General features: G+C 42.9%; 1 protein-coding gene across 2 annotated transcripts in view, besides 3 other annotated features; it reads right to left on the reverse strand.

Moving 5' to 3' along the window:
• Nucleotides 1-16,518, reverse strand: part of SLC23A2 (solute carrier family 23 member 2) — a 157,956-nt gene that overhangs the window by 107,834 nt on the left and 33,604 nt on the right. For both annotated transcript variants that reach the window (NM_203327.2, NM_005116.6), the window contains exon 2: nt 10,602-10,728. The gene's annotated coding sequence lies outside the window, so the exon portion shown is untranslated. The remainder of the gene's footprint in view (nt 1-10,601; nt 10,729-16,518) is intronic.
• Nucleotides 12,931-14,130: an enhancer, noted in NCBI's record as "BRD4-independent group 4 enhancer chr20:4953768-4954967 (GRCh37/hg19 assembly coordinates)". NCBI's record gives its function as "activates an origin of replication core promoter dependent on BRD2, P300/CBP, MED14 and CDK7 cofactors, and independent of BRD4, by STARR-seq in HCT116 cells {active_cell/tissue: HCT116}" and the evidence as "EXISTENCE:reporter gene assay evidence [ECO:0000049][PMID:35650434]".
• Nucleotides 13,118-13,318: a silencer, noted in NCBI's record as "peak4131 fragment used in MPRA reporter construct". NCBI's record gives its function as "represses an SCP1 promoter by STARR-seq MPRAs in K562 erythroleukemia cells {active_cell/tissue: K562}" and the evidence as "EXISTENCE:reporter gene assay evidence [ECO:0000049][PMID:32103011]".
• Nucleotides 13,386-13,695: an enhancer, noted in NCBI's record as "active region_17503". NCBI's record gives its function as "activates an Ori minimal core promoter by ATAC-STARR-seq in GM12878 lymphoblastoid cells {active_cell/tissue: GM12878}" and the evidence as "EXISTENCE:reporter gene assay evidence [ECO:0000049][PMID:35858748]".

A 16,518-nucleotide genomic window follows, 5' to 3' on the forward strand; every position in this document is an offset into this window, starting at 1 on the left:
CTCTATTAAAACACAATTATCATTTCACATTCATCAGATAAGGCTAGAATAAGAGTTTAGTAATATGAAGTATTGGCAAGACTGTGAATAAACAGGAATTCCTGTATCTTGTTGACAGAGAAGAAAATTGGTTCAAATACTTGGGAGAACCACTGCTAATATTTAGTTGGTTGAAACTGTGTATGCACTATGATCCAGCAAGGCCAGTTAGCATACTTCACCCCAGAGAAACCCACCCAGATGAAGACAGTCATTCTGTTCATTATGCTATGTCAAGAGGAGAATATCTAAGTTATGCTATGCTTAATCAATGAAATAAAATACTGTAGTTAAAATAAACGAACTCTAGCTACTTGGACCAACATTTGGGAACATTTTCCAGAGTGATTAAGTAGGTTGTAGCGCACGCGCACACGCACACACACAAGATCTACTATTTAAGGTTTTAAATCACGCAATCATTATTATATGTTGGTTTGTGAATATATAAGCATGTAACACAAAAGTAAAGACACGGACTGTAAAGGTACCTCTGGGAAGAAGAGAAAGAGGGAGATGAGGCTAGCAGAGAGGACAAACCAGGTATCTGAAATGTTTCAATTTCCTTAAAAAGCAAAAACAAAATACCTGAAGCAAAAATGACATGTTTAGATTTATTAGGTCTGGGTATCTAGCAGGTAAGTTTTCATTCTTTAGTTTTCTTTATATTTGAAATGTCACAATTAAAAGCAAATGTTTAACCAAAGACTATCTATCTTTAAAAGGATATACAGTCTGAACACACAAAAACTGGTAAAAGTGGCTGCCTCCAGAGATGGAAACTGGGACAAGGACCAGACAGGAAGGAGGCTTATTCTCCCTGCCTGGCCTGTCCTCATGCACATTCTGATTACACATCCTTTTTTTTTTTTCTTTTTCTTTTTTTTTTTTTTTTGAGACGGAGTCTCGCTCTGTCGCCCAGGCTGGAGTGCGGCGGCACGATCTTGGCTCACTGCAACCTGCACCTCCCAGGTTCAAGCAATTCTCCCTATAGGCACGTGTCACCATGCCCAGCTAATTTTTTGTATTTTTAGTAGAGACGGGGTTTCACCTTGTTAGCCAGGATGGTCTCGATCTCCCTGACCTCATGATCCGCCCACCTTGGCCTCCCAAAGTGCTGGGATTACAGGCGTGAGCCACCACGCCTGGCCTATCTATTTTTTTAATTACAAATAAATTTTACGCCCTCTTTATCTCCAATCCCCCAGAGTGGGGCCTATCTAAAGCAAGCTTGTCCAGCTCTCGGCCCAGGACAGCTGTGAATGCAGCCCAACACAAATTCGTAACTTTCTTAAAACATTTGAGATTTTTTGCGATTTTTTTAAAGCTCATCAGCTATCATTAGTGATAGAGTATTTTATGTGTGGCCCAGGGAAGCCAAAAGATTGGACACCCTTGATCTAAAGTATTTTTATTTCAGATAAGGACAGGCCACTGAACACATGACTGAGATTCCAGCCCTGACTGTGCCATTAATGATGGGAGGAGATTTAATTTTGGGGATGATTTAACCCCCTCCAAGTATCACATCACTTCTAAAATATTGTCTTTTATGAAAACACAAACATATCCCCCTCAGCCAGAGAATCTCTAACTAAGCCACAGGGAGCGAAAAGCAGTTCTCATATAACCCTGATAGGAAAACTTTTGGAATTTGTTCGGACAGTTCCACACAGACCATCTGCAGTGATTGCCTCATAGCCTCTGTGGGTAGAGATGTACGTAGACAGTTGCCCTTATGCAAGGCAGCATGAGGTGAGAGAAGGGCAGGAAGTTGGGGGAGTGCTTATCTGATCACTTGTTTTCTTAATGAACTAAGAAGCAGAGGTCATGGCTGAGAGTAAAAAGGCTGGGAATGGGATTGGACAGAAGTGACTATGGAAGAAGAAAAACGATGAGAAAAATGATATTATTTTAAAAAAAAAAATCAAAGTCCAGCTGAGCCCAGAACTCATAATATGAAATAGAGAAAGTCACCTTGTTATCTGGTTTCTCTCCAGCAGAGTTCAACCACCCCCGCCCCAAAAAAACAGAATAGTTAAGACCAGGGCACTGAGGGAGCTTGACAAGTTCTGGAGACAGCTCAGAGAGGGAGGAGACCATGTTAGTAAGATGGCAGCCACGTGATTTCCTGTGGCGTCCATAGCAGGTAAAAAGGACTGGGGAGGCAAGAGGAAGCCAGAGAGCACCACAGAGCTGGAGCACCAGGACCAATGAAGGGGAGGAATGAGAGCTAGGGAGGACAGGGTGTGTAGACACACTCCCAGCTCAGGATCCCAAAGTGCTGTCTGGGAGACGACTGGGCCTTGGAGAGCTGATATAAACTGGAAGTAAAACTACCTGCAAAAGGTAAAAGGTCAGTGAGGTCCCGTGGCCGGATAAGCCAATGACTGAGAGATGATGCTAGAAGACACAGTGGAAAGAAATGTGGCAGGCCAGGAGCCAACATTCAAGGGGCATAAAGAAAGGTCAAGAAGTTGCTAGATGGCCTGGCGCAGTGGTTCACACCTGTAATCCCAGCACTTTGGGAGGTCGAGGCAATGGATCACCTGAGGTCAGGAGTTCGAGATCAGCCTTGCCAACATGGTAAAACCCCATCTCTACTAAAAATACAAAATTAGCCGGGTGTGGTGGCATGCACCTGTAATCCCAGCTACTCAGGGGGCTGAGGCAGGAGAATCGCTTAGAACCAGGGAGGCGGAGGTTGCAAGTGAGCCAAGATAACGCCACTGCACTCCAGCCTGGGTGACAGAGCAAGACTATCTCAAAAAAAGTTGCCAGATGATGGCAAAGAGGAAAAAGGCTTCAAAACTAACAGTGGTAGTTGAATTAAGGCTGGAGGACACAGCCTGCTATTCCCTCTACCTGGAAATACTGCAACACCTGGAGAATGTAAATATCAATTCCTCAGCAAATCCTTTCCACATCTCCCAAAATCCAAACCACTCACTTCACTCTTTGCTATTCTCCCAAAGCAAGGAGCACAATTCATGCCAAATGTCCTTCGTTATCCAAAGTTATGCTTTTCTCAAGTTCATGAAGCCAACCAGGGATCCACGTTTTCTGGGTCTATCCAGTTCCTAAATTGTGATCAGCAGAAAATAAGCGAAGGGTATATACCTAAAGATGTATCCAGCAAGCCACCAAGTCAGGAAAGCAGGTGCTCTGGCATGCTGGCTTCAGGACCCCTTAGTCACAGCCACTTAAAAGTAGTCTGCATGGCTATAAGAATCCCTAAGGCTGCCATAACTCCTTTAATATGATTCTCTGTGTTGCCAATAGGAATATGACCATATGTAAGCTTTCTTATTAAAAAAAAAAAATGTAAAAAATCTGACCAGGCACGGTGGCTCACGCCTATAATTCCAGCAGTTTGGGAGGCCAAGATGGGTGGATCACTTGAGGCCAGGAGTTCAAGACCAGCCTGCCCAACATGGTGAAAACTCGTCTCTACTAAAAATATAAAAATTAGCCAGGCATGATGGCACACACCTGTAGTCCCAGCTACTCCTGAGGCTGAGGCACCAGAATCACTTGAACCCAGAAGGCGGAGGTTGCAGTGAGCTGAGATCGTGCCACTGCACTCCAGCCTGGGTGACATAGTGAGACTCTGTCTCAAAAAAAGCAAAAAATCAAAAAGGCAGAAATAAAATAAAATGTACCATTTATAATTTACACAACAAATTGTAATTGTAAATTTAGTAAATAATTTTTAACATCCCGTTAACATGCAAGCACTTTGGATATACTGCTAGTGGGAGTAATAATTGCCATTAACTTATTTTTTTTTTTTTGAGATAGGGTCTCACTCTGTCGCCGAAGCTGGAGTGCAGTGGCACAATCATGACTCACTGCAGCCTTGACCTTCCTGGGCTCAGGTGATCCTCCCACCTCAGCCTCCCAAGTAGCTGGGATTGTAGGCACATACTAATTTTTCTATTTTTGGTAGAGATGGGGTCTCCCCACGTTGCCCTGGCTGGTCTTGAACTCCTGGGCTCAAGCAATCCGCCCACATCAGCCTCCCAAAGTGCTGGGATTATAGGCGTGAACCACTGCACCCAGACATAACATTTTTAGATGGTAATTTAACATCACCAATCAAAGGCTCTAAAAATACACATAGCCTTTGACCTAACAATTTTACTCTTAAGGAATTTATCCTAGCAAAATAATTAAAACAGGCTTAAATTTTTCATTTTGTGAGTGTTCATTAAAATAATGCTTAAGAGTAATCCAAAACCGGAGGGGAAAATATTAATGCCTAAAATAGAGGACTGGTTGGTACAATTGTGGGCACATTCTTATATGAGCATATTACAGAGATTAAAACATGGGTGACTGACGTGGCAACGTAAGGAGTGCATTATTAAGCTGAGAAAAAGACAGGCTTACAAAACAAACCTGATAATCCCATTTCAGTGTGTGCACACATGCAGAAAATGAAGGGACACCAAAAAATTAGCCAGGTGTGGTAGCACACTCCTGCAGTCCCAGCTACTCAGGAGGCTGAGGCAGGAGGATCCCCTGCACCCGGGAGGTAGAGTTGCAGTGAGATCGCACCACTGCATCCCAGCCTGGGTGATGAGAGCAAGACTCTGTCTCAAAAAAAAAAAAAAGAAGAAAAGAAAAAAAGGAAGGAAGAGAAGAGTAGAAGAGAAGGGAAAAGAAGAAAAAAAAAAAGAAAGGAAAATGGAGGAAAACACCAAAATAGTACATGATTATCTCCAGATGATGGGATTATATGTGGTTTTTTTTCCCCTTATTTTTCTACAGTGTACATATGTCACTTTCATAATTCTTAAAAGCTTGAGCCATTATCTAAGGACAACACTGAAATAAATATACAGGTAAGACAAACTAGAAGAGAAATTCTGGCAGTCAACACCAGTGCTGAGAAAAAACACCCTATTGATATAGTCAGTGTGCTCCCGGAGAGAGCGCTGGGAGGGCTAGAGTTTCCTGGTAACCAGGAGCCTAAATTTATCATTCCTAAGGGCTTGCTGATGGCACCTGAGTAACTTAGGAAACCAAAGGTGTGGTCAAAAGGTAAGCGCTCTTCATACTCGGTAAACCTACTGTGTTCAGGGGTTCCTGATTTTCCTTAAATCCTTTTTATTCTTGGATCTCAACTCTTCCAAGGGCTGTCTTTATCTAACATTAGTTACTATACTTCTTCACATTTCCTAGATCTTCTTTATTTGAAAAAGAAATGAGACTCATTCATTGCAACCAAACTTTAACTTGTCAAAATTATAAACTGGCTGGGCCCAGTGGCTCACATTTGTAATCCCAGTACTTTGGGAGGCCAAGGCAGGCGTATCACTTGAGCCCAGAAGTTCGAGACCAGCCTGGGTAACACAGCAAAACCCCGTCTCTACAAAAAATTAGCCAGGTATGGTGGTGCATGCTTGTAGTCCCAGCTACCAGGCAAGCTGAAGAGGAAGCATCACCCTCAGCCGGGCGCGGTGGCTCAAGCCTGTAATCCCAGCACTTTGGGAGGCCAAGGGAGGCAGATCACTTGAGGTCAGGAGTTGGAGACCAGTGTGGCCAATGTGGAGAAACACCATCTCTACTAAGAATACAAAAATTAGCTGAGCGTGGTGGCATGCGCCTGTAATTCCAGCTACTCAGGAGGCTGGGGCAGGAGAATTGCTTGAACCTGGGAGGCAGAGGTTAAAGTGACCCAAGATTGTGCCACTGCACTCCACCCTGGGTGACTGAGTGAGACTCCATCTCAAAAAAAAAAAAAAAAAGGGAAGATCAGGAGATCAAGGCTGCGGTGAGCTATAATCATACCACCATACTCCAGCTTGGATAACAGAGGGAGACCCTGTCCCCTCCAAAAAAATAAAATTATAAGCTATAGAACGTATTTGTGATTCTTGGGTAAAAAAGAAAAATATACATATAGACTGGGGTAGGGGGCAGCAGGGGAGATCAATTTACTTGTTGAACTGGTTCATGTGCATTTTCCAGGCAACAGAAAATCTAAATTTGAAAGGAAAAAGGTGAGGAAGGGGAAGCTTTAGTAGCATCATTCAAGTGTGAGTATGTATTATTACATAGTCCCTGAAATAGAAGGGGCTTACATTATGAAATACTGAAAAATCCAAGAGCTTGGAAGTTGAAAACATATTGCTCAGTGGTAAGTAAAGCTATGTGGGGTTTAAACTGTGCTATCCAATGCGGGAGCCACCAGCCCCAGGTGGCTACTGAGCATCTTAAACGTGTTGGTCCAACTGGTATGTGCTATGAATGTAACATATACAATAGACTTCAAAGGGTTGCTATGAAAATAAAAAAGAATGCAAATATCTCATTAATAACTTTATATTGATTGTGTTGAAATACTATTTTTAATATATCAGCTTATAAAATATATTACTAAAATTAATTGTTCTTGTTTTCCTTTAATGTAGCTACCTCAAAATTACATATGTGACTTCCATTATAATGGTATTAGGCACTGCTAGTCTAAAATACGTGGATACCAGGGAAAGAGAAAATGCTATTTCAGTGCACACAACCAGGGTAATCATAAGATCACATCCTATGGATGTGTAAACTTTTGATAGTTTTACACACACACACACACACACACACACACACACACACACACACACACAGGCATGGCCATCTTTATCCAAACATCAAAGACAACCCTATTATTAATATCCTACACAGTCAGCTGGGCAGATTACATGATGGGGAGCAGGTGCCATAACCTAATTTTCCACACACAGAACTGAGAGGAGGGAAGGAAGCAGATATAAAAGAGACCAAAGCAGAAATCCAGAAGCAGAATCCAGTGCTAACGAGAAGCACAAGATGAAAGGTCAGAAGGGCTGGAGGCAGGGGCTCTTTGAGGGAAGCCCAGAACCAGTACAAGAAATCTAAATAAACACAGGGCCCATCCAAAGGTAAACATTACTCAAATCCAGAAAGGCTTTATTGCTATTGATCTGCAAGTTCCAGTTTATGGCAAACCTAAAACAAAATAATATGTGTATTTAAAAAGGATTATCATTAGAAGTCATGGGACAAATTTATTGATGAGTTTTTTTTTTAACACCATACAGAAAAATCAGCAAACAACTTAGACAATTTATAAACAGCTGGTCTTAATCCAACACTAACATGTTGATTTTTCAAAATAACCAGTTGAAAAGGCCAGACTTGTTCTAATTTGCTTGGAATCTCTTTCATAGTAACTGTTACACAACTGTTCCATCTTCCTTCCTTACCTTCTTATGTAAGCTCTGTAATCACCATCAGTGTTTACATAGGTTTGTGAAACCACCCAATTTCTCCAGTAAATATTTAATTCTCTTTGCTACTGATCAAACCATAAGCAACACAACATTTTTATACGACATGTTTGGTAATGAGAAAATGAGACATTGACGTCAACAGCACAAAGTCTATAAACCAAAAACACCAGGATTTCCCGATACATAGGCCTCTTGGAAATCAGGCACCAATAAAATAGAAAATTCTCTTCACTGCTCCAAGTGTTTGATCCAGTTTATAACTGAGTTCCGCAGCATCTGTGGTGGTTCTAGCAAATGCTAAAATACCCTTCAACCAGAACCATGCACCCAGTCTGCAGGCTTCAGGCACCAAGCAGAATGGGTGTTCTCAGCTATGAAAGCCAGGCACTCAACAATCACCTGTATGTTATTAATGACAAAAACGAAAGGTACGAGCAAGCCTCCTCTTTTCTCAGTTTAGTAAGACCGTGATATTTTAGGATCTGTACTGATCATCTCAAGGCAAATGGAATGACACCAACCATCCAACTAGATCCCTGACTGCCCTTGGTGGGCTGGAGCAAGGAGATGGAGATACATTATGCTGAGGCTCTTTCCCATCTGATTGTACAGTCCGGACACCTAGCAAATCAGAGAAAACACATACAACCATAGAGCTGGGCAGGAGAGCTCAAGGACACTGGAACTCCAGGCTGGAAGTTGTCAGGAATGACTTTTAGGAAGTGAGATTAGGGTTAGCCTTGAAAGATGGCGGGAATCCCAAGAGAGATGCCACTACGGAGGTCCAGAGGTAGGTGGCATATGATGCGTCTTTTGGGCGCTGAACACAACAGCCTAACCCCAGCACCTGGAGGTCAGAGGACAGGGAGGCAAAGGAAGAAAACCCTTTGTGGAGTCAAAGTAGCCTTGAAAAGCAAACTCAACACAGAACGGCTTCATGCAACATGAGTTTCTGGGCAGGCGAGGAGAGCAGTCGTCCACCACAGGATAATCTCAAAATGGGGATCAAGAAGCTACTGTGTTAATCCAAGGAAAATGACCTTGGCAACTGCAATGGTGAAAATGCCAATGAGAAAAATGGATGAACTAAGGGAGTGATTTCAAAGAAAGACCTGGTATTAAAGGTGACCTCTAAGAAAAGAGCCAGGTGTCCTCTTCCTTCAGAACTAAGAAAACAGGCTTGACAAGGTAAATCATTAAAAAGGTCAGGATGTGTATTTTTCTTTTTTTTTTTTGAGACGACGTCTGTCTCTGTCACCCAGGCTGGAGCACGATGGCATGATCTCGGCTCACTGCAACCTCAGCCTCCTGAGGTCATGCAATTCTCCTGCCTCAGCCTCCAGAGTAGCTAGCAATACAGGTGTGCGCCACCATGCCTGGCTAATTTTTGTATTTTTAGTAGAGACGGGGTTTCACCAGCCATGTTGGCCAGGCTGGTCTCGAACTCCTGACCTCATGATCCACCCACCTTGGCCTCCCAAAGTGCTGGGATTACAGGTGTGAGCCACTGTGCCCGGCCTTGTTTTGTTTTTAGTAGTAAGTAGAGACTTCTTTATTAGAAGTGTTTTTTGGTTTTTTTTGTTGTTGTCATTGTTTTGTTTTGAGACAGAGTTTCCCTCTTGTTACCCAGGCTGGAGTACAATGGCACAATCTCGGCTCACTGCAACCTCCTGCCTCCCAGGTTCAAGCGATTCTCCTACCTCAGCCTCCCGAATAGCTGGGATTACAGGTATGCGCCACCATGCCTGGCTAATTTTTTGTACTTTTAATAGAGACAGGGTTTCTCCATGTTGTACAGGCTGGTCTTGAACTCCGGACCTCAGGTGATCCGCCCGCCTCAGCTTCCCAAAGTGCTGGGATTCCAGGCATGAGCCACTACACCCAGCCTTTATTAGAAGTCTTAAAATTTTTTTAAAAGGAGTGATCCCCTCTAAGTATTTGTAAAAGCTCTTATAAGTGTACACAGAAAGTAAATTTTACTGCACATAAAATTTTTTTAAAACAACACTGACATAACATTTTACATCCACCATACTGAATAAATTTAGTTTTAACAAGTCAATGTATCTGACAGCATCCTTTTTTTTTTTTTTTTTTTCTTGAGGCAGGGTCTCACTCTGCCACCCAGGCTAGAGTGCGCTGGCACAATCAGAGCTCACTAAATCCTTGAACTCCTGGGCTCAAGTGATCCTCCTGTTTCAGTCTCCAGAGTAGCTGGGACTATAGGCGTGCACCACCACATCCAGAAGCAGAGTATCTGAGAGAATGTATCGGCAGATGTGAAACACTTGCGGCTTTTCTGAAGGATAATTTACCTATACATGTATCAAATTTTAAAAGGTCATGCACTGTGCCCATCACTACTACTGCTAAGATGTTTTCCCCAAGAAGAAATTTGATTGCAGTATTGCTTATAATAGCAAAAAATTAAAAATAATCAAAATGTTCATCAAGCTTTGGGGATAAGGGAAACAACAGAAGGAGGAAAAAAAGAATGCTCCTGAGTAATGTACATGTGGTTAGTCTCATTAATTAAACTGCAGAGAATGCTTGAAAAGGGGTGAGGAAACAATTCTTAAATCTCTTTCCACTCCAGGTTCCTCACGTATAAACCTCACGGAGGGCCAAGAGCAGGAGGTACTCAACAAATTTTTGCTGATAATAAAGTCAAAAGCATGAAAGAAAACTGAAAATATTTACCTCCTACTTTGTAATTAATATAAGTGGCAAGACTGTGCCTGTTTATTTTCTAGTTTAATCTACTTGCGTGGAATTTGGCCTAAAGAAGTCTATTACCTTATCATTAGCATTAACCTAACAATTCATTATTCCAAAGGTTGTGCATTTAGACCGTTCTCAACACGTAAAAAACGTACAAAGGTAAGGTCAAGTACAAAAGGGTTCTAATGCTACAGAGCTGCCAGCCCAATTCTACCATGAAGCATAACTAGCCAGGCATGGTGGCTGAAGCCTATAATCCCAGCACTTTGGGAGGTAGAGGCAGGAGGATCGCTTGAGCCCAGGAGTTGGAAACCAGCCTAGATAATATAGTGAGACCCCATCTCTAAGAAAAAAAAATTTAAAAATTAGCCAGGCACCATGGCTCACGTCTGTAGTCCCAGCTACTTGGGAAGCTGAGGTAGAAGGATCACATAAGCCCAGTAGGCCAAGGCTGCCACGAGCTGTGATCGTGCCACTGCACTCCACCCTGGGTGATAGAGCAAGAACCTGTTTCAGAAAAAGTAAGAAAAGGAAAAGGAAACACAACTGGAGATTGTGTTTTACACGCACCTAAGTGATGTGGCGTAGACCTGTCCATATGCTTTCCATTACAATTCGCTGAGTTACATTTGCTTATGCACCAAGGTCCAAGTTCAAAGCCGTATGAGAAGTCCCCGTTAGTGGAGTCAAGACCTAGCTGGAGAAAAGCAAATGGTAAATTAAAAGTAATAACAAACCTAGCAGGAGGTACTCTGCATGAATGGAGTCTATTTTTCACCCAGCCATGCCCAATCCTAGAATTTGCTCTATTACTACTTCATTTTTATGGACTGCCTCCAAGGCCCCAGCCTGTCTCTAGGCAGGGTCACAAACTGCACCCTCAATTCTTTAAAAATCCACTCTCCATTTCTACAAAGTATTTTGAAAGATAGTATTTTAGAACACCTATAAAAAAACTTTTCAGCCAGGCACAGTGGCTCACACCTGTAACCCCAGCACTTTGGTAGGTCAAGGCAGGCAGGTCACTTAAGCCCAGGAGTTCGAGACCAGCCTGAGCAATAGGGTGGTCTCTACAAAACACACACACACACACACACACACACACACACACAAATTAGCCAAGTGTGGTGGTGCACACCTGTGATCCCAGCTACTCAGGAGACTGAGAGGTGGAGAATCACCTGAGCCCAGGAGGTTGAGGTTGCAGTGAGCTGTGCAACCGCACTCCAGCTTGGATGACAGAGTGAGACTCTGTCTCAAAAATAAATAAATAAATAAAAAGCAATTTTGGGCCAGGCACGGTGGTTCACACCTGTAGGGAGGCTGGGATGGGAGGATCACTTGAGGCCAGGAGTTCAAGACCAGCCTGGGCAACATAGTGAAACCTTGTCTCTACAAAAAAAAAAAAAAAAAAATTATCTCGTCGTGGTGGCACACACCTGTAGTCACAGCTACTCAGGAGGCTGAGGCAGGAGGATTCCTTGAGCCCAGGAGGTCAAGGCTGCAGTGAGCCATGACTGTGCCACTGCAGTCCTACTTGGGCAACAGAGCAACACGCCATCTCAAAACAAAAGCAAAAAAAGTGATTTGCACTCAGTTGGGATTTCTCCATTGATAACTTTTAAACTCCATATTCCCTAGCACAGGGTCTTTGATTTAAAAAAAATAAATAAATAAGTCACTTTCTGTTAAAGCCTCTTAAAAATGTACTAGCACACGGGGAGGGTGCTTCTCAAAAAGCCGGTCACATTCTGTTTCTCAAACTGGGATATGAGCAGGTACACAGATGTTTCTTTTACTATTTATTAAACGGCTATGTTTTATCCACTCTTGTACCTATGCATATGTTCCACAATAAAGGGAACCCAGAGCCTGACTCAGTGGCTGTCTTGGGAACAGCCATCCCAGCCCCAGCCATGAGCCTGGCCCTCCCTTGTGAAGAAAAACGTGCAAGGCAACCAACAGTTTAGCCAGATTTTCACTGGAAAATCCTTATGTTGAGACATCAACTTTTACCATTTGTTCTTGGGCAAGTTAGCATCAACAATCGCCAACGGCCCCAAGTTAAATAGCACACAAATGCCATCAGACTGGTACCAGTCCAGCCTTCAAGGAACCATTAATGAGTCTTTTTTTTTTTTTTAATTTTGGAAACTAAACACTGGTCTTGTGCTATTTGGGAAAAAATACTCACTTTAAATTATTAGAACGTGAATGAAGAAATTGATGTCTTTCCCTTTCTAAAACATTTTGCATGCAAGGAAAAAAAAAGTAGTAATTTATTTCTCAAAATAAAATCTCTACACATAAATCTATCTTAAGCTATGTGGGGGTTTTTGGGGGGTTTTTTGGGGTTTTTTTGTTGTTGTTGTTGTTTTAAATGAGACAGAGTCTCGCTCTATCAGCCAGGCTGGAGTGCCGTGGCGCAATCTTGGCTCACTACAACCTCCACTCCCGGGTTCAAGCGATTCTCTTGCCTCAGCCTCCCGAGCAGCTGGGATTACAGGTGCCCGCCACCATGCCTGGCTAATTTTTTGTATTTTTAGTAGAGACACGGTTTCACCATGCTGGCCAGGCTGGTCTTGAACTCGACCTTAGGTGATCCACCCGCCTCGGCTCCCAAAGTGCTGGGATTACAGGCACAAGCCACTATGCCAAGCCTTAAGCTATGTTTATCAGAAATTTGCAATGTCAGAAGGGAGGCACAAAGGTGACATCCATCAATGTCTAGTCAAGAGGAATAATGAAAAGAACATGAGAAAAGAAAACAAGAGAGACACTTTAAAAGAATGGCTTACTTTCAGTTAAGTTATAATAACAAATACAGTTCCTTGAAAAATACAGGTTGTACAATATGTGTGGTTATGATTTCACTTTTATTAAAAGGATAATTACATAGTATGCATTTGTGTACACAGAACAGGGCTGGCAAGGATACAGATCAAACTGCTTTGAAGTGGTGGGGGGACATAAGAAAAGATCGTGTGACCTTCTCAATTTACTAAACACAAGTCTGACAAGCTAGAATTATTTTTCAACATGTGTATGCTTCTTTTGCAAATCCTTTAAAAAACTATTAATTAAAAACGGCTCCATGAGGGCAAAGTGCAAATTAACAGAATGTCATTTTTAGCTACAAATCATTGGAAAATTCTGAATGGGGAAGCGAAAGTACTATGACTCCTTAAAGACATGTTTTTGGAGAGTATTTTTCTAAGCTGAGTGGCAAGATGGCTGGAAGGACTTAACTACTGCACAGAACAAGTACTGAGACCAAACCACAGAACTGGGTCAGAGGTTTTAATACTGGGAACATGCAAATACATTTTTGAGAAAGGAATCTCTGAGGAAGGAGTTAAGAAGGAATCACGATACAAACAAAAACAAGACTGAGCTATCAGTAAGCAACCTTGAACTTCTGGCAGAGCGCTCCGCTGAATGCCCCTCCCATTCGTGGGTTCCACCGCACTCTGGAAACATGAAAACTGTCCTTTGCACGCAAGGCTACGGGGCTGAGATCAAAGCCTGGGCGCTGCGGCAGGTCAGAGGAAACATCACTTGGGACACACTCATGGCCACATGACTTTCCCCCATCAAGGCCCGCTGAACTCTCAAGAATCTGTTCACAGTGCTTCTGTTGCTTCTTAATTAGGATGTGCAAAAGTACATACTACATGCTGTGGTTTCCAGACACTGACTTCATACAGAAAACATTCAACAAAAAACTGGGGAAGAAATACTACAGAATTGCCATCTGTGTATCTTACTATGTTATTTAACATCTACCACTGACTCAACATCATTTCCTTAAAAAGGGATGTTAACTCTTCAAAAGCAGGAAGGAGAGAATGCCAGGGCCAGTATCATAACAGGCCAGAACCTTTGAACAGCCAAATCATTCTATCAATTCAGTAGATGCCAAAAAGGCTGACAAAACACTTCCTCCTGATTTAAAAAGCAAAAACCAGCCAGGCGCGGTGGTTTATGCCTGTAATCCCAGCACTTTGGGAGGCTGAGGTGGGTGGATCACCTGAGGTCAGGAGTTGGTCAGCCTGACCAACATGGAGAAACTCCATCTCTACTAAAAATACAAAATTAGCCAGGCATGGTGGCGCATGCCTGTAATTCCAGCTACTCGGGAAGGCTGAGGCAGGAGAATCGCTTGAACCCAGGAGGCGGAGGTTGCGGTGAGCCGAGATCGCGCATTGCACTCCAGCCTGGGCAAGAAGAGCGAAACTCCGTCTCAAAAAATAAAAAAAATAATAATAATAAAAATAAATAAAAAGCAAAAACCAAATATCTTCAATGCAAATTAAAAGATACTTCCTGAATATGACAAATATCTTCTGAAAACAAGGGCAAACTCAAACACTACATATTCTTCATGCTTTGGCATTTTGTTTTTTAAGTTTATTTTTAACCTTATACTACCCTTATATCCTTTATCCTTATACTATCATTCCCAATGTTTGTATTTTTTTCAAGGTCTTACAAAAGAGGCACATGTATGCACTTGAAAATCTTGATGAAATGGGCAATTTTGGGGGGAAAGCTATTTTTTCAGTGTTTTTGTTTTTGTTTTTGAGACGGAGTCTCGCTCTGTCACCTAGGCTGGAGTGCAGTAGCGTGATCTCAGCTCACTGCAACCTCCGCCTCCAGGGCTCAAGCGATTCTCCTGCCTCAGCCTCCCGAGTAGCTGGGATTGCAGGGCCCACCACCACACCTGGCTAATTTTTGTATTTTTAGTAGAGATGGGGTTTCATCATGTTGACCAGGCTGGTCTTGAACTCCTGACCTCAAGTGATCCACCCGCCTTGGTCTCCCAAAATGCTGGATTACAGGTGTGAGCCACCGTGCCTGGCCAAAAACTATTTTTTGAAAACCTGAACAAGTAACAATAAATGGAGAAAATTACAAAAGCAAATTACTCTTTTCCAAAAGGTGCTAGGCCCAGACAAATTCTTAGTTATTTCCCAGCCTTCCTCGTAAGAAATGGGAAATGAAAAAGCTTCCCAATTCCTTCTGGGAATGCAGACAAACTGACAAAGCACAACGGAAGAAAACTATGTATTTCTTCATTGGTGCAGCGGTGAGTAAGAAAAAAAGAAAAAGAAAGAATATGACGTTAACCTCACTTGCCATTCCTAGATTGTTTTTTATTACTTATTTATTTTTTGAGACAGAGTTTCACTCTGTTGCCCAGGCTGGAATGCAGTGGTGCCATCTTGGCTCACTGCAAACTCCACATCCCGGGTTCAAGCCATTCTCCTGCCTCAGCCTCCCAAGTAGCTGGGATTACGTGCACGCACCACCACGCCTGGCTAATGTTTGTATTTTTAGTAAAGACAGGGTTTCACCATGCTGGCCAGGCTGGTCTCAAACTCCTGACCTCAAGTGATCCACCTGTCTTGGCCTCCCAAAGTGCTGGGATTACGGGCGTGAGCCACCGTGCCCCGCCTGTTTTTTTTTTTTTAATTTTTGCAAATATGACATGTAAAGAATGACATCTGGTTTTGATCTTGATTTCTTTGATCCATGTGTCTACAGTTCTTTTATGAACTGTAAGTGCCTTTTACCCATTTTTTTCAGTACGTGTTTGGGTTTTTCTGATTCATTTGCAAGAGTTTCTTTCTTTCTTTTTTTTTTTTTGAGACAGAGTCTCGCTCTGTCGCCCAGGCTGGAGTGCAGTGGCGCGATCTCGGCTCACTGCAAGCTCTTCCTCCCGGGTTCACGCCTTTCTCCTGCCTCAGCCTCCCGAGTAGCTGGGATTACGGGCACCTGTCACCAGGCCCGGCTAATTTTTTATATTTTTAGTAGAGACGGGGTTTCACCGTATTAGCCAGGATGGTCTTGATCTCCTGACCTTGTGATCCACCTGCCTCGCCCTCCCAAAGTGCTGGAATTACAGGCATGAGCCACCACGCCCGGCCAAGAGTTTCTTTTTTTTTTCCTACTTTTACTTTGCTTTTTCTTTTTGCAAGAGTTTCTTATAGGTTAAGGATATTAACCCTTTGTCTACTGAAAGCATTTTCCCCAGAAAAAGCAAATGACTGCTTTTTCCATTTTGTTTATACCACTTGAAATAGAGGACATTTTTTAAGTCTCTCTTAAGTCATACTAGTATCTTTTTGCAATTTCTTCTATTACTTTTGTGCTAGAAAGTCCCTCCCCGGCCGGGCACGGTGGCTAACGCCTGTAATCCCAGCACTTTGGAAGGCCAACATGGGCGGATCACCTGAGGTCGGGAGTTCGAGACCAGCCTGGCCAACACGGTGAAACCCCATCACTACTAAAAATACAAAAATTAGCTGGGCGTGGTGGCATGCACCTGTAATCCCAGCTACTCGGGAGGCTGAGGCAAGAGAATTGCTTGAACCCGGAGGCAGAGGCTGCAGTGCGCCGAGATCATGGCATTGCACTCCAGCCTGGGGGACAAGAGCAAGACTTCATCTCAAAAAAAAAAGAGAGTCTGCCGGGCACGGTGACT

This window comes from Homo sapiens, chromosome 20 (genome assembly GCF_000001405.40).
Source record: "Homo sapiens chromosome 20, GRCh38.p14 Primary Assembly".
Classification (NCBI taxonomy): Eukaryota; Metazoa; Chordata; class Mammalia; order Primates; family Hominidae; genus Homo; species Homo sapiens.